This window comes from Homo sapiens, chromosome 12 (genome assembly GCF_000001405.40).
Source record: "Homo sapiens chromosome 12, GRCh38.p14 Primary Assembly".
NCBI classification, from domain to species: domain Eukaryota; kingdom Metazoa; phylum Chordata; class Mammalia; order Primates; family Hominidae; genus Homo; species Homo sapiens.
In genome coordinates this window covers 287011-305516 of record NC_000012.12, presented here as the reverse complement: position 1 = coordinate 305516, position 18506 = coordinate 287011, and the positions used below count along the sequence as shown (strand labels likewise).

General features: G+C 38.1%; 1 protein-coding gene across 1 annotated transcript in view; it reads left to right on the top strand.

Moving 5' to 3' along the window:
* The window catches only part of KDM5A (lysine demethylase 5A), a 109264-nt gene that overhangs the window by 83804 nt on the left and 6954 nt on the right, over nt 1–18506 (top strand). The window contains exons 25-27 of the mRNA NM_001042603.3: nt 8317–8476; nt 9724–9944; nt 12348–12758. Of these exons, the coding sequence (NP_001036068.1) occupies nt 8317–8476; nt 9724–9944; nt 12348–12758 (792 nt within the window). The remainder of the gene's footprint in view (nt 1–8316; nt 8477–9723; nt 9945–12347; nt 12759–18506) is intronic.

The following is an 18506-nucleotide window of genomic DNA, read 5'->3' as shown; positions in this document are numbered from 1 at the left end:
CACTATCTTTTATTTGTCTTTTCAGCTTGCAGATCAGCATGGTACTGCTCATTAATCTCATCAGCATTAAAACTCCTAGGATATAAAATTAAAACCATCCATCATAGACGCTCGTAGATTCCTCTGCTGGGAAATATTTTTTCTCAAGATAGAAATGGGAATTTTCAGTTATGTGACTTAAAGACTTGAAAACAGTTGAAACTTGAATTAGACTGTTCAAATAATCTTTTTTTATATTAAAATATCTTATTATATGGTAGATTATTATTTTTCAGTTTTGAAAGTTTTGTGAACAGATGGCCAAGTTTTGTTGCACTGATTTTCAAGGGCTGATTGAGGGCCATTATTAAGAAAAGAGGCATTACAGTTGCGTACAGTTCTTGAATATCATCTTAGTGTACTGCTAAATCCCATTATGAAGAATTCATTGGCAGTCTGCTGAAAGGTACACTAGCTTATACCACACACAGCGGTACATTCTTAAGCACGTTGTTATCCAGAAGTTAATGACTATCTTTGTTTACGAAGTTGTATATAGGGTGACTAAGAGCAGCTGAAAAGAAATGCAACCCATGCCAAGTATAATTAGCTTTTTCCTTGAATACTGGAATCACCCGTTTACCCTAGTTAGAGGCCTTTGATATTTTTGGTGGTTGCTTTCTAGCACATTAGCTATCAGCCACTCTTCTAGAATTGCTTAACATGATGGGCTTTGCTTGAAAGCAGACTGGTAACCTATGAAAACATCACAAGTATTGATGATTTTCAGGACTAGGGATCACAACTGCAGTTTCATATGGTTGGATGGAGTAGTCTTTTTGTGGAGGAATTTATATGAGAATCTTAGCTTACTGTCTCTTTGGTAGTGGGTATTGGCAGGGTAGAAAAATAAGATTATGGATTTTCTAGTGTTAGCAATGTATTTGACAGCTGAGAAGAATGGTGGCAAGACTTATGGTAATTCAAGTTCAAATTTACTTTGCAGTCAGATGCTCTACCACTGAGCTATATACCCCTGCCAATTTACTTTGATGTTGATATCTTTGAATGAAAAAAAAAAAAAAAAAAAAGCCTATACTCTTGAGCATTTTCCCACAGAGCAAGCGATAATTGTATAATGAAAATTTTATTTGCCGGTTTATTTGCATTTGACCTGGTGGTTTTTTCCTTTGTGTGATGTCCTCTGTTGTGACCATAAATTCATAACTTAAAATACTTTGAACTTAGTATTCTTGCTTGAGGAAGAGCCCCCTCTTGGTTTAGGAGGAGGGGTAGGTAATTATTTAGTAAAATAAAATCAGTCATTTTATCTTAGTTACCATCCAGAAAATCATTACTTACGAGGTACATATTTAATGAAGCAAAGTCTGTCCTGCATCTTTTGGGATTGTGTCTATGTAGGTGAGCTTGTGGAAACTAATTTCAAGGAGAATCATAGACCTAATCAGAGCTCACTTAACATTGCAAGGACTTTAAGTGTAACAATGAGATTAATGGGCAGTACCAAGCTGATCTGCAAGCTGAACTTATTTTTCCCCCTCATCACTGTTATAATGAAATGAAAACAACTTTATTCAAAGACCTGCTACTATACTTCCTTTTGCTTAAAGGCAGTTTCTAAGAACCTACCAATGACATTACATGAAGACTTACTGTAATCTATATATTGTCAGTCAGACATATACTTGTATTAAGAGCAATTGGTAAGATTCTAGGTTTGAAAACCTGTAGAGAGGATTAAATGGTTTGTGTCCTTAGGCTGTCACATCTAAATTTATCTTCCCCTCCTTAACTTGTTGGTATAGGAGTTATTATAGGTTGTAGACTATAGAAGGTAGATTACTTAACCATAATTTTTTTTGTATTATACTTTAAGTTCTGGGGTACATGTGCAGAACGTACAGGTTTGCTACATAGGTATACACGTGCCATGGTGGTTTGCTGCACCCATCAACCACATTAGGTATTTCTCCTAATGCTATGCCTCCCCTAGGCCTGCACCCCTGGACAGGCCCTGCTGTGTGATGTTCCCCTCCCTGTGTCCATATGTTCTCGTTGTTCAACTCCCACTTATGAGTGAGAACATGCAGTGTTTGGTTTCCTGTTCTTGTGTTAGTTTGCTGAGAATGATGGTTTCCAGCTTCATCCATGTCTCTGCAAAGGACACGAACTCATCTTTTTTTATGGCTACGTAGTATTCCATGGTATATATGTGCTGCATTTTCTTCATCTATTCTATCATTGGTGGGCATTTGGGCTGGTTCCAAGTCTTTGCTGTTGTGAACAGCACTGCAGTAAACATATGTGTGCATGTGTCTATAGTAGAATGATTTATAATCCTTTGGGTATATACCCAGTAATGGGATTGCTGGGTCAAATGGTAATTCTAGTTCTAGATTCTTGAGGAATTGCCAGAGTCTTCCACAATGGTTGAACTAATTGACACTCCCACCAACAGTGTAAAAGCATTCGTGTTTCTCCACATCCTCTGTAGCATCTGTTGTTTCCTGACTTTTTAATGATTGCCATTTTAGCTGGTGTGAGATGGTATCTCATTGTGGTTTTGATTTGCAATTCTCTAGCGACAGTGATGATGAGCATTTTTTCATATGTTTGTTGGCTGCATAAATGTCTTCTTTTGAGAAGTGTCTGTTCATATTCTTCGCCTACTTTTTGATGGGGTGGTTTTTTTCTTGTAAATTTGTTTAAGTTCTTTGTAGATTCTGGATATTAGCCCTTTGTCAGATGGATAGATGGCAAAAATTTTCTCCCATTCCGTAGGTTGCCTGTTCACTCTGCTGATAGTTTCTTTTGCTGTGCAGAAGCTCTTTAGTTTAATTAGATCCCATTTGTCTATTTTGCCTTTTTTGCCATTGCTTTTGTTGTTGTAGTCATGAAGTCTTTGCCCATGCCCATGTCCTGAATGGTGTTGCCTAGGTTTTCTTCTAGGGTTTTTGTGGTTTTAGGTCTTACCTTTAAGTCTTTAATCCATCTTGAGTTAATTTTTGTGTGAGGTGTAAGGAAGGGATCCAGTTTCAGCTTTCTGCATATGGCTAAGCCAGTTTTCCCAACACCATTTATTAAATAGGGAGTCCTTTCCCCATTTCTTTTTGTCAGGTTTGTCAAAGATCAGATGGTTGTAGATGTATGGTGTTATTTCTGAGGCCTCTGTTCTGTTCTATTGGTCTGTATATCTGTTTTGGTACCAGTACCATGCTGTTTTTGTTACTGTAGCCTTGTAGTATAGTTTGAAGTCAGGTAGTGTGATGCCTCCAGCCTTGTTCTATTTCTTTAGGATTGCCTTGGCAATGCGGGCTCTTTTTTGGTTCCATATGAAATTCAAAGTAGTTTTTTCCAGTTCTGTGAAGAAAGTCAGTGGTAGCTTGATGGGAATAGCATTGAATCTGTAAATTACTTTGGGCAGTATGGCCATTTTCATGATATTGATTCTTCCTACCCATGAGCATGGAATGTTCTTCCATTTGTTTGTATCCTCTTTTATTTCGTTGAGCAGTGGTTTGTAGTTCTCCTTGAAGAGGTCCTTCACATCCTTTGTAAGTTGTATTCCTAGGTATTTTATTCTTTTTGTAGCAATTGTGAATGGGAGTTCACTCATGATTTGGCTCTCTGTTTGTGTGTGAATGGCATATAGGAGTGCTTGTGATTTTTGCACATTGATTTTATATGCTGAGACTGCTGAAGTTGCTTATCAGCTTAAGGAGATTTTGGGCTGAGATGATGGGGTTTTCTAAATATACAGTCATCTGCAAACAGGGACAGTTTGACTTCCTCTGTTCCTATTTGAATACCCTTTATTTCTTTCTCCTGTCTGATTGCCCTGGCCAGAACTTCCAACACTGTGTTGAATAGGAGTGGTGAGAGAGGGCATCCTTGTCTTGTGCTGGTTTTCAAAGGGAATGCTTCCAGTTTTTACCCATTCAGTATGATATTGGCTGTGGGTTTGTAAGTAGCTCTTATTATTTTGAGATACATTCCATCAATACCTAGTTTATTGAGAGTTTTTAGCATGACAGGCTGTTGAATTTTGTTGAAGGCCTTTTCTGCATCTATCGAGATAATAATCATGTGGTTTTTATCATTGGTTCTGTTTATGTGATGGATTACGTTTATTGATTCACGTATGTTGAACCAGCCTTGCATCCTGGGGACGAAGCTGACTTGATCGTGGTGGATAAGCTTTTTGATGTACTGCTGGATTCAGTTTGCCAGTATTTTATTGAGGATTTTTGCATCGATGTTCATCAGGGATATTAGCCTGAAATTCTCTTTTTTTGTTGTGTCTCTGCCGGGTTTTGTTATCAGGATGATCCTGGCCTCATGAAATGAGTTAGGGAGGATTCCCTCTTTTTCTGTTGTTTGGAATAGTTTCAGAAGGAATGGTACCAGATCCTCTTTGTACCTCTGGTAGAATTCGGCTATGAATCTGTCTGGTCCTGGACTTTTTTTGGTTGGTATGCTATTAATTACTGCCTCAGTTTCAGAACTTGATTGGTCTATTCAGGGATTCAACTTCTTCCTGGTTTAGTCGTGGGAGGCTGTATGTGTCCAGGAATTTATCCATTTCTTCTAGATTTTCTAGTTTATTTGGGTAGAGATGTTTATAGTATTGTCTGCTGGTAGTTTGTATTTCTGTGGGATTGATGGTGATACCCCCTTTATCATTTTTTATTGCATCTATTTGAATCTTCTCTCTTTTCTCCTTTTTAGTCTGCCTAGCGGTCTATCTATTTTGTTGATCTTTTCAAAAAACCAGCTCCTGGATTCATTGATGTTTTGAAGGGTTTTTCATGTCTCTATCTCCTTCAGTTCTGCTCTGATCTTAGTTATTTCTTGCCTTCTGCTAGCTTTTGAATTTGTTTGCTCTTGCTTCTCTGGTTCTTTTAATTGTGATGTTAGGATGTCGATTTTAGATCTTTCCTTTCTCTTGTGGGCATTTAGTGCTATAAATTTCCCTCTACACACTGCTTTAAATGTGTCCCAGAGATTCTGGTATGTTGTGTCTTTGTTCTCATTGGTTTCAAAGAATGTCTTTATTTCTGCCTTCATTTCTTTATGTACCCAGTAGTCATTCAGGAGCAGGTTGTTAAGTTTCCGTGTAGTTGTGTGGTTTTGAGTGAGTTTCTTAATCCTGAGTTCTAATATGATTGCACTGTGGTCTGAGAGACTGTTTGTTATTATTTCCATTCTTTTGCATTTGCTGAGGGGTGTTTTACTTCCAATTATGGGGTCAATTTTAGAATAAGTATGATGTGGTGCTGAGCAGAATGTGTATTCTGCTGATTTGGGGTGGAGAGTTCTGTAGGTGTCTATTAGGTCTGCTTGGTGCAGAGCTGAGTTCAGTTCCTGGATATCCTTGTTAATTTTCCATCTCATTGATCTAATATGGACAGTGGGGTGTTAAAGTCTCCCACTATTATTGTGTGGGAGTCTGAGTCTCTTTGTAGGTCTCTAAGAACTTGCTTTATGAATCTGGGTGCTCCTGTATTGGGTGCATATATATTTAGGATAGTTAGCTCTTCTTGTTGCATTGATCCCTTTACCATTATGTAATGGCCTTGTCTCTGATCTTTGTTGGTTTAAAATCTGTTTTATCAGAGACTGGGATTGCAACTCCTGCTTTTTTTTTGTTTTCCATTTGCTTGGTAGATCTTCCTCCATCCCTTTATTTTGAGCCTATGTGCGTCTTTGTGAGTAAGATGGGTCTCCTGAATACAGCACACTGGTGGGTCTTGACTCTTTATCCAATTGGCTAGTCTTTGTCTTTTAATTGGGGCATTTAGCCCATTTACATTTAATATTGTTATGTGTGAATTTGATCCTGTCATTATGATGTTAGCTGGTTATTTTGCCTGTTAGTTGATGCAGTTTCTTCATAGCGTCGATGGTCTTTACGATTTGGTATGTTTTTTCCAGTGACTGGTACCGATTGTTCCTTTCCATGTTTAGTGCTTTCTTCAGGAGCTCTTGTAAGGCAGGTCTGGTGGTGAGAAAATCTCTCAGCACTTGCTTGTCTGGAAAGGGTTTTATTTCTCCTTCACTTACGAAGCTTAGTTTGGCTGGATATGAAATTCTGAGTTGAAAATTCTTTTCTTTAAGAATGTTGAATATTGGCCCCCACTCTCTTTTGGCTTGTAGAGTTTCTGCGAGAGATCCGCTGTTAGTCTGATGGGCTTCCCTTTGTGGGTAACTTGACCTTTCTCTCTGGCTGCCCTTAACACTTTTTCCTTCATTTCAACATTGGTGAATCTGACAGTTATGTGTCTTGGGTTTGCTCTTCTCAAGGAGTATCTTTGTGGTGTTCTCTGTATTTCCTGAATTTGAATGTTGGCCTGCCTTGCTAGGTTGGGGAAGTTCTCCTGGATAATATCCTGAAGAGTGTTTTTCAAGTTGGTTCCATTCTTCCATCACACAGGTACACCAATCAAATGTAGATTTGGTCTTTTCACGTAGTCCCATATGCATTGGAGGCTTTTTTCGTTTCTTTTCACTCTTTTTCCTCTAATCTTGTCCTCTCACTTTATTTTATTGAATTGATCTTCAATCTCTGATATCCTTTCTTCTGCTTGATTGATTCGGCTATTGATACTTGTGTATGCTTCACGAAGTTCTCGTGCTGTGTTTTTCAGCTCCATCAGTTCATTTATGTTCTTTTCTAAACTGGTTATTCTAGTTAGCAATTCCTCTAACCTTTCCTGAAGGTTCTTAGCTTCCTTGTATTGGGTTAGAACATGGTCCTTTAGCTCAGAGGAGTTTGTTATTACCCACCTTCTGAAGCCTACTTCTGTCAATTCATCAAACTCATTCACCATCCAGTTTTGTTCCTTTGCTGGCGAGGAGATTTGATCCTCTGGAGGAGAAGAGGCATTCTGGTTTTTGGAATGTTCAGCCTTTTTGTACTGGTTTCTCCCCATCTTCGTGGATTTATCTACCTTTGGTCTTTGATGTTGGTGACCTTTGGGTGGAGTCTCTGAGTGGACGTCCTTTTTGTTGATGTTGACACTACTCCTTTCTGTTTGTTAGTTTTCCTTCAAACAGTCAGGCCCCTCTGCTGCAGGTGTGCTGGAGTTTGGTGGAGGTCCACTCCAGACTCTTGTTTGCCTGGGTATCGCCAGCAGAGGCTGCAGAACAGCAAAGATTGCTGCTTGTTCCTTCCTCTGGAAGCTTCATCCCAGAGGGGCACTGGCCAGATGCCAGCCAGAGTTCTCTTGTATGATGTGTCTGTTGACCCCTGCTGGGAGGTGTCTCCCCGTCAGGATGCACGGGGGCCAGGGACCCACTTGAGGAGGCATTCTGTTGCTTATCAGAGCTCGAATGCTGTGCTGGGAGATCCGCTGCTCTCTTCAGAGCCGTCAGGCAGGGACATTTAAGTCTGCTGAAGCTGCGCCCACAGCCGCCCCTTCCCCCAGGTGCTCTGTCCCAGGGAGCTGGGGGTTTTATCTATAAGTCCCTGACTGGGGCTGCTGCCTTTTTTTCAGAGATGCCCTGCCCAGAGAGGAGGAATCTAGAGAGCAATAGTAATTTTTTTGTAGGTTTATTATCTCCGTGGATTGTTTTTGACCTTAACACTCTCTTTTGTCTTGAATCTGTAGTCATTATATTCCTGGACAGAACGAGGTCTGGCTGCTTTTTCTCTCAGTCCAATAAGGAGATGCAGACTGACTGGGAAAGAAGGGAGTTAATTTCTGCAGCTGGTTATGGAGTAACTCACCAGACCAACTAAAAGTTACAAGTTTTTTTCAACGCTTGTATTCATTCTAAATTCTATGTCTGTGTGTAGGAGGTGCACCTACAAGCCAGAATGTTTCATTCAAACTGTATCTAATCTTCAGGTAGGGTCCAGGGTCTGGAAAGCTTTCTCTAGAGACTTGGAAAAATTTCCTTATCTTAAGTGGGCCCTGGTACAAGGTGTGTGTAAGAATGCCTTCATAACTTTATCAGGCTTTAGGGTCTTAGAAAACCCGGGTGAAAATCTTAATGGGTTTGTTTTCACATTTCAGCCCTTGTACGAAGGCAGTAGTTTCTCCAGTTATTTACTGTTTAACTTACACATTCATCAGAATTATAGTAATGTGTTAGTAGAAACTGTTCTGGTTGCTCATGGAGACCTGGCCTGCCACAATTACAGTTTTTCTCCCCAATGGACATTTTCTATCTTATTTAACATCAGATATTTAATTTTAATCTCATATTTTTAGTATATTAGAAGCTTTAACCTGAAAGCCTCCATTTTGGGCCTTGTCATAAAATAAGTTAAATGACTCTAATTCTGAATACTTCTCTTTGTTTCTTCTTCAGGACACAGCCAGTGTGAAGTCCTCTAGTAGTCTTGAACCCAATCTTTTTTGTGATGAAGAGATTCCCATCAAATCCGAGGAGGTGGTGACCCACATGTGGACAGCACCTTCATTTTGTGCAGAGCATGCTTATTCTTCTGCTTCTAAGAGTTGTTCTCAAGGTATTACTCCTTTAAAAAACTGTGGGGAACATAAGCAGAAAACCAATGAGAAAAAGCATTATGTTAATCAAGACTGTGACTCCATTTCGAGTGGAGTACAATGGTTGGCCATGAAATACTAATGGAACCTGAAAATGCTGTTTTCTTTTGGAAAAGCCAATCCCTGTTTGCATTTTCTGTCATCACAACCTGAAAACTTACATAGAGTTTTAGAGTCCTAATTAGAAGAACTTGAGGGGCCATCTAGTCCCATGCCTCAGTTCTAGAAAATTCCGGATAGGTAGTCCTTCACCCTCTATGTGGTCATTATCAGGTGTTGTGGAACTGCTGCTTTTTAAGCATATTTATTCTGGTTTTGGGTAACTTTAATTGTTAGAAAGTTCTTCCTTTCCTTGGAGGGTGATTTTCTCTGTGATGTTAATTTTTCTGTCCCTCAGCAAAAACAAGTCACATTACTTTAGGTCACAACTCTGGAAGATGGAGGGTGTTTATCTCTTTATAATAAAATTCAGGATTTTATGGAACTGTGTATTATTGTCTGTTCATTAGAAAGACAACCAGTTATTTATATAAGGCAGCCAAATGCTTTATTAAATGCTTAATCTTTTGGTATACTCTAAAATGGAGAGATTCTGGTTGCTCGCTCCCCTTGCCACACGATAAAGACTCAGTAGAGATTAATGTTCAGGATAAAGAACCACTTTTTTTTTTTTTTTTTGAGATGGAGTTTCTGTCTTGTTGCCCAGGCTGGAGTGCAATGGCGTGATCTTGGCTCACTGCAACCTCCCCCTGCCTAGTTCAAGAGATTGTCCTACCCTCAGCCTCCCGAGTAGCTGGGATTTATAGGCATGCGCCACCACGCTTGGCTAATTTTTTGTATTTTTAGTAGAGATGGGGTTTCACTATGTTGGTCAGGCTGGTTTCGAACTCCTGACCTCAGGTGATCCACCCGCCTCAGCCTCCCAAAGTGTTGGGATTACAAGGGTGAGCCGCCACACCCGGCTGGAAGAACTGTTTTTTATTAATAACCCCAAACCATTTTTTTTAGAGTGGGCCTTGGAATTGTTCATCTTTTTGGTCTGTATTTGTTTCTAATTCTGTTTACATTTTCATACTGATATAATGAATCCAGATATCTGAAGTTAGTATTGGGGGATGGGGGGCTAGTCTCAATATTTGCTTTGAAAACATGTTTTTTCCATAGTTTTAATTTTTTTTGCTTTGTTTTATGGTATTTTTTGGGAAAGGTTCTAGCACCCCAAGGAAACAACCTCGGAAGAGCCCTTTGGTGCCCCGAAGTTTGGAACCTCCAGTGCTGGAGTTGTCACCTGGAGCTAAGGCACAACTGGAAGAACTTATGATGGTTGGAGATCTCCTGGAAGTATCTCTGGACGAGACTCAACACATATGGCGGATTTTGCAGGCCACACACCCACCCTCTGAAGACAGATTCTTGCATATCATGGAGGTGTGGATTTAATACTTATTTAAACAGTGGTTAAAAACTAGAATGCCTAGGTTCCTTAGAGGTATCATAAATGTTGGCAAAGGGGTGGCTGAGGGCAGTAATCTGGCTGGTCTACTTTCCCACTTCAGCCAAAGAAATTGGGCTTTATGGCTTGCTGGCTTGCCTGCCTCCCTGCCTCCCTCCCTCCTTCCTCCCTCTTTCTTTCTTTCTCTCTTTCTCTTTCTTTCTCTCTCTTTCTCTTTTTCTTTTTCTTTCTTTTCTCCTTTCCTTTCTTTTTCTTTTTTCTTCTTTCCTTTCCTTTTTCCTTCCCCTTTCTCCTTTCCCCTTTCCTTTCCTTTCTTCTTGTAGGACACCAGAGATTTGATTTATGGCTTTCTTTTAAGCTTTTAGGTAGTATCTAAGTTGAAAAAAAAAGGCCATTTCTGCTAAAAAGAAGCGGGGAAGGGCAAGATTGATAACCATCCCGTTTAGAACAACCTCTGTAGCCCAGACTCCCATTATTGGAGGGCTCAGAGATAGGGGAAAATATATAGTGACTATGAAAAGAAGCACAGGGATGGTTAAGTAGTAGAAGCCTGGGGGGGAGAGAAGGTCCACATTCATATATCACACTTACATAGCAGTTCCATGAGCTCATTTGATGAGATGATGGTACCATATCCATGAGCTCATTTGGTCCTCACCACTGTCTTGAAGAGGAATGGGTAGGGGAGCTAGAGGGCAAGTATTTTACCCATTCTGCATATGAAGAAAGTAAGTATGAGAGGTGGAAAATTAAGGTCACACATCCAGTAAAAAATAAAGAGATCTGGATTCTAAGTCTGCCATTTGACTCTTTTCTTTTCATTCATTTTCATGAGTATTCTTTTCATTAGTTTCCTTCTTTCCATGTAATGGAATGGTGCCATGTCACCAACAGTTGATACAGATATATTTAGCATATGCTATAGTTTGTTTTTGTTTTGAAAGTCAGATCTAGGTAGCCTAATTTAGATAGTGTTTTCCAGTCTGCAAAGCATTTTCTTCACATTCATTATCTTACCCAATCCTTTTTCTTTTACTGATAAGGAAGCACAAAGTATTAAGAGGTTAAATATCTTGTTCAAGATGTAATAGACTTAAGGCACTTATAATCCAGTGTTCTTTTGGATTCTGCTGATTCTTAGGTTCCTGTCAAAGATTTTCAAGTGTCAGATCTGTAGAAAAATGAGTTCTCAAGGGAATTATTAGGTTTATGTTATGTTTCTTCAGTATTTCTTTCTCTTATTCCTCCTCCTGTTCTTTCTGTTACTAGATACACTTTTACCATTAAAATTTAAAATGTTTATTACATTGGCACATACTAGCAACAATATTAAAAAGCTGAAAACAAAAATGACAATTTTTTTTGCTTTGTCACATGAACTGTTTTCTAGCCCTTGGCAAAGTCACTATATATTCTGTGTAATGAGATCATGGATACAATTTTATGTTTTTCTGACTTTTTAAAAATAACTACCAATACTTTTATTATTATGAAGATCCCAAAAGTTATTAACATAATTTAGTACAGTTTGCTTTTTGTGTATGTTTTCATCTCTAACAGAGATGCTACAGACTGTTAATATATTATGCTAACACTGATTTTTTTTTTATATGCCCTTTTTCTCCTAGTAAGCTAGTATAAGTTAAATATTTCATTTCGGACTTGTGATCTTCTACTGTTATCTTCATTGAATAGTATACTTACCTTCTTAAAATGTCTTTTGAATATCTTTAGAATAACATAAATCCCCCCCCCCCCCTTTTTTTTTTGAGATGGAGTCTTGCTCTGTTGCTCAGGCTGGAGTGCAGTGGATTGATTGCGGCTCACTGCAACCTCCGCCTCCCGGGATCAAGCCATTCTCCTGCCTCAGCCTCCCAAGTAGCTGGGACTACAGGCATGCACCACCACGCCCAGCTAATTTTTGTATTTTTAGTAGAGTCGGGGTTTCGTCATGTTGGTCAGGCTGGTCTTGAACTCCTGACCTCAAGTGATCCACCCGCCTCGGCCTCCCAGAGTGCTGGGATTACAGGCCTGAACCACTGTGCCTGGCCCATAAATCTTTTTTATTGTAGCATAATGTACATAACATAAAGTTTACCATTTTAACCCTTTTTAGGTAGACAATTCAGTTACATTAAGTAGATTGACAGTGTTACGCAACTGTCACCACTATTCATTTCCTGAATTTTTTAGTTATCCCCAACAGAAACTATACCCACTAAACAAATCTCCATTTCTTCTTCCCTTCAGCCTCTGGTAACCTCTGTTCGACTTTCTGTCTCTCCGAATGTGTCTATTCTAGGTACCTCATATAAGAGAGTAATACTGTTTTTTAACTGTCTTGCTTTAAAATTGTTCCTAAATTTATATTTTTGAAGGATGACAGCATGGAAGAGAAACCACTAAAAGTGAAAGGAAAGGACTCTTCAGAGAAGAAACGGAAACGGAAGCTAGAAAAGGTAGAGCAACTTTTTGGAGAAGGAAAACAGAAGTCCAAGGAGTTAAAGAAAATGGACAAACCTAGAAAGAAGAAATTAAAATTAGGTGCAGACAAATCAAAGGAGCTGAATAAACTGGCCAAGAAACTAGCAAAAGAAGAAGAGAGAAAGAAAAAGAAGGAGAAGGCTGCTGCAGCCAAAGTTGAACTTGTGAAAGAGAGCACTGAAAAGAAAAGAGAGAAAAAGGTGCTGGACATCCCCTCAAAGTATGACTGGTCAGGAGCAGAGGAGTCTGATGATGAGAATGCTGTGTGCGCAGCACAGAACTGCCAAAGGCCCTGCAAGGACAAGGTGAGTTCCAACTGTTTATAGTCAAGCATGAGAGGTCAAGGAGCAACAGTTGTGGAGACACATGTTTGATATCAATGTGTAGTATGTTTTTGGTTCTAGGATTTGGACTTCCAACATAATGTCTTTTGTACAATTTCTATAAACTGTTTTGAATAATGAGGCTCTTAGTGTGCCTAGTAGAAGTGTTGTATTTCAAAAATCATATACTTAATGAACATAATGAGACAGGAGCAGAGAGAAGCTATGTGACATTCCCTGGCAAACAGTGCATTTCATATGCAGTGGGCATAACAAGTTTCAGAATAATCTTGTGCCTTCCCTATAAGGTGACTCAGAGAACTAAATACCTTGTCGGATAGTCACAATGGCCTGAAAAAAATCCTGGGCCAGTATTGTAAGAGCTGTGGCAAATTGCATTAAGATGGTATTCCAAAGACTTGAAACTTTTAGTCCATATCTTACACTCAGAGCTGTGGGCACCCTCCTAAATGGAATATGATTTTCTTCAAATCTTTTGCAACAAATAATTCAAACCTATAAATGCATTATTTTAGGCCAGGCAAGGTGTGGCTCACGCCTGTAATCCCAGCACTTTGGGAGGCCGAGGTGGGCGGATCACCTGAGGTGAGGAGTTCGAGACCAGCCTAGCCAACATGGTAAAACCCCATCTCTACTAAAAATACAAAAAATGAGCAGGGTGTGGTGGCGGACACCTGTAATCTCAGCTACTTGGGAGGTTGTGGCAGGGGAATCGCTTGAACCCAGGAGGCAGAGGTTGGAGTAAGCCAGGATGGCTCCATTGTGCTCCAGCCTGGGCCACAAGAGCAAAACTCTGTCTCAAAAAAAAAAAAAAAAAAGCATTGTTTTAAAATTTCCAACCCTAAATTTTAAGTATAGTAATTCTCTTATGGCCGTTCTTTAAATATAATGTTGACAGTATGAACTTCTGAGAGTAATAGTCAGACTTTATGAAAAATTCCAGTTGTTTAAATGATTGGAGGCACCTGTTACGGCTCTTATCAAGAATATTGATAAATCTGTAGTTTTAATTTTATTATGCTCATTATACTATTTGATATTTAGAATTCTAATAGTGCCTCAGTTTGAAAATATAAACAGTAAATAAAACTGCATCACTGTTCCCTATAGGTTATGCCCTCACTTTTTCAATGAAATACTTAAACCTTTTTAGAGCTTGAAGGCACCAACAGGTTACTTTGTTCAGGCTGCTCATTTTACAGATGATGCAACCAGGACTCAGGGAAGGTAATTATGTGACCAAAGTTACAGAGCTAGTTAGTAGCAAAACCAAAAGTAGAACCCTAGATCTTGGCTGTCAGACCAGGTTCTCTCCACTAACACCTTACCCCATCAATAATTGAGATGTAAGTACAAAAACACATTCCAAAACTAAATGACACATATTTAAATGAGATGTATTAGGGGTATTCTATTCATTTTTTGGAATGTGCATAGTAAAATATATATCCTATAGTCTAATCTTCCAAGGCAGACAGCTATAAATATTTTAGTGTTTCCTTCCAATTTTTTTCTATGGCGTTTGTTTTATATCATTGTCAGACTGTTTACTGACTTGCATCTGTTCATTTTATAAGCATCTTCCTATATTATAAACATTTTAAAGCATTTTAATATATATGTGCATATTATTTTTATCTTTAATTTTGAATTTATTTCCATCTGAGTTTGTTTGTTAAAGAGGCTGATGAAGAGTTAACTTTCTCTTTGGGTATCAAAGTGTAGCAGTTCATTATTGGCAGAACCTTCTCCCTTTTCTTCCTTAATTTTATGGTAGTTTAAAGACTAGCAGCAAGGTAGGATGTTTCCTTTTTAAACTTTCCTGACATTCTTTCTATAATGTTTACATCTATCATGAGCCTTTCGTCTTATTTTTATACTCTTTCTCCTTATCACTTAATCTTTCCCCTCCCTTCTGCTCAGCATTTAAATAGGATTCAGTTCATCCATTATTCCTGTTGTCTTCTTATAGCAATATAAACACTTAGGCCGTTTTTTTTTTCATTTGCTATGAAATTGTCAAATTAACAGGTGCCCTGCCTATTCAAAGGGTTATGATGATAAGACAAAACAATCTCTATGAAAGCACTTGTTAACCAAAAAATGCAACGTAAGTGCTAAGATGTGATCATTATTTTTGAAGGAACTGTGAGATTTGCTCCTAATATTATAGGTATTTTTTAAACAAAATCTTTAAACAAAATCTAGAGTTATCATCTACATTTTGATGGAGCAAAAGGAGATTTGGCTGAGTGCTCAGAGAAAATGTCTATTTTGAACTGTTACGATACGTAAAGGTGAGCAACGTGTGCCCCACCCTATGTTGTTAGTTTATATAAAATAGTGTTTTATTTCTATAACGTGTTTCGTTTTAAGCAGAAGTTATTTCAGATTATAGATATTTTGCCTGTTACTGCTGTTTTGCAGTTTTTATGGTTCTACATGTTTGTTCCTGACATTGATTTTGCTAAATAAAAGTTACAGTTCTATAAAAATTTCTGTAAAGAATGTTAAAACTTTCTCAGTGTTTAGTGTTTCTCTGAGAAAACAATTAATATACAGCACACATCTTTAGAGCAAAATAAGAAAAGAATGCCTTTGCCAGCTGCAGTGGCCCATCCTGGTAGTCCCAGCTACTCAGAAGGTTGAGACAGGAGGATTGCCTGAGTCCAGGAGTTCAAGGCTATAGTTAATGTGCTATGATCGCACCTGTGAGTGCCCCACTGCACTTCAGTCTGGGCTACACAGGAGACCCTGTCTCAAAAAGAAAAAGATTGGCAAGATGATGTAAAAAAAAAAAAAAAAAAAAAAAGAAAGAAAGAAAAAATCATGCTTTTTAGCCCAGTTTGTTCTTTAAGATACCATGCAGCAAAAAATAACTTCCAGGGTTCACTTGTTTTTAGGTGAATTCTCTGACCAGTAATTACTATTATTTCTCTAACTAATAATTACTGGGACTTTTCCCCCAAAATATGCAGATTAAATTTTTTTTTTTTTTTTTTTTTGAGACAGGGTCCTACTCTGTTGCCCAGGCTGGAGTGCAGTGGTGTGGTCATAGCTCACTGCAGCCTTGATCTCCTGGGCTCCAGCAGTCCTCCTGCCACAGCTTCCTGAATAGCTGGGACTACAGGCACACACCACTATGCCCACCTCTTTTTTTGAGAAATGCTCTTTTAAAAATTAAAAGAAAGATTAAATGAGGCTAGTTAAATGTGCCTAGCCTCAGTTTCAAGATGTTTTAGAAAAAGGAAGACAATACCAGAATAATGTAAAAGATTTTGAAAAAATAATTTTTCCTTTGATTATTAAATTAATGTCAAGCTAAAATTAATATTAACAAAACTTTTTAAAAAATTAATTTTGAAGTTCAGAATCTTTTTGTCTCTGAACTCTTTATTCAGTCTTATTGGTACCAAAGATAAAACAAGTTAACTAGAAAAAATATCAAATTCTCTCAGGCTACTAATTTAAGTAGTATTTTTCTTCTGTATTAGAATAAATATTTAATAATTTTACTTATGAAAATAGTCTTTTTCTCTTCACTTTTTTTAACCCTCTTATTGTTGGCCTTTTCCTTTACCCATTCCTACTTCCATGAGAAGTTTTGTGTGGTAAATTAAGAGACTATGAACTCTCATTTTTACTATTTATTAGCCACTCTGATTTAAGATTTTCATGGGGGTGTTGCCTCAATCAAAGTATTTGCATTTCCAGCGGCTTTACTAGTTCATATCTCCTTTTAGCACAGATAAGCAAAGGTTAAGTTACCTAAATGTGTGTAATACACACACACACGCGTGCACGCGCATGATGTTGAGCTAGAGTGACTAACTGTCCCAGTTTCCCTGGGACTTTCCCAGTTTTGGCACTGAAATTCCCACATGCTGAGAAATCTGTCATTCCTTGGCAAATTGGGAGGATTGGTCACTGAATATTGAGAGCACCAAGAAAATATACACAAGGATTCTGAACATATGTTGTAGTTCACTTAGTGAATTGTTTTCCTTTTTCAAATCCAGCTTTTGCTAGGAAACTTGGGGTGCAAAAGATATTAAATGCCAAAATAACAAAAGCTCAGTTTAATTAGTAAGCTAAGAATATCACTAAATTACCAGATTTTCTTTTTTCCCAGTGCAGTACTATTCTCTAAGAAATGAACAAAATATACTATGCCAAATATTTTTTATTAAGTGTGAATATGAAACCATACAGCAAAACATGAATATTAAACTAATATTTCCTCTTTTTAATATATTTCTTTTTGAAACAGACATTTCCCCCAGATCTAAACATAGTAACCTATTTGTACTGTAATGTAAAATCTCCTATCATTTAATATTTGAACAGTTCATAGCTGTGAAGTTTAGTAATTATTTTTGTGATTCACTAAATACATCTCCTAGAAATAATGAAAGGGGGGGAAATGACAATTTATACAGTTATCCAAATTCTGTGTTCTTGAGTTTTCAGGATACTACATAGTCTGTTGCCCCTGTGTCAAAATCATCTGTGGATTCAGTTGACATCCCAAACTTTAGTTTGCTTTATGTTGCTGTGGGCCTTTCACACAAAAGTAGAACTCAGAGTTGATTGTTAGTAGATGAACATGATAAAAAAGATATTGGTAAAGAGAAGGACTATTTTTTGCTTGTTCTATTATCAGGCTAAATTGTTATATAACCTGTAGTCTAGGTTAGAATTTGTGTACCAGTATCTCAAGGAAGGTTATATACTCTTTTGAAATGGTAGAAGATCTGGGCTTAGGAAGGGACCTTTAGTCAAAATCACAAAAGGGAAAGTATTGTCTTATTTGTAAGAGAATTTTGGGAAATTGTAAGCCAGTGAGTATAGTGCAAACACTAGATTTAAAAAGACATGGGACACTTTTCTTTGTAGCAAATACTGATACATTAATAACATTCTTATCCAATGGATTAGCATGAATGGGGACTAGACTGGATTAAGAAAGAGGGTTGGAGGTGTAAGGGTGAAGGTAACTGTTGGTTCACAGGTACCATTATAAAAAGCATGGTATCTCAAACCTGGGCAGCACAGAGAACCACAGTTTATCTATCCAGTTCCCTTTACCAGTCCCAAACAGCCAAAACACTCACTCTGAGTGCACGTACTCTACAGCTAGCATTTTGTGTTTTTACTGCTTGCAGTACTTTAATTTTTACATTTTGCACAGATGCCATTATTTCCCCCTTTTTTTTTTTTTTGGTCTCTGATTAGTTTGCTACAATAGGAACATTTTGGTGAGTTTTTTTATTGCACAGACTTCAGAAGCTAAACAATCAATTACAGAACAAAAATCAGTTTAGGAAGGTATTGTTAAGTTGCTCTGAATTTACAGGAAGTGATATCACAGAGGGCCAGCAATGATCGGATTTAGAATATATGAGAATCACTTGGGAGCTGATTAAAAATGTAAGCTTCTGGCTTGTACTCCCCAGATATTCTGAGTTCATAGGGTGATGGGTCCCAGCTACATTTTAAACAAACACAATAGATGATTCTGATGCCAGTGGTCTACACACTTTGAAAAGCAGTGCTGCCGACAGTTGTATCAAGGTGCAGAACGTTTTGTGTAGTGTAGGGTAATGAGTAGAGCCATGAGACCATGACTGGAAAGTGCCTCCAGTATCCTGGGCAGTGAATTAGGTGTTTTGCCATACATTATTTCATTGGATCCTCTCGGTAATCTTG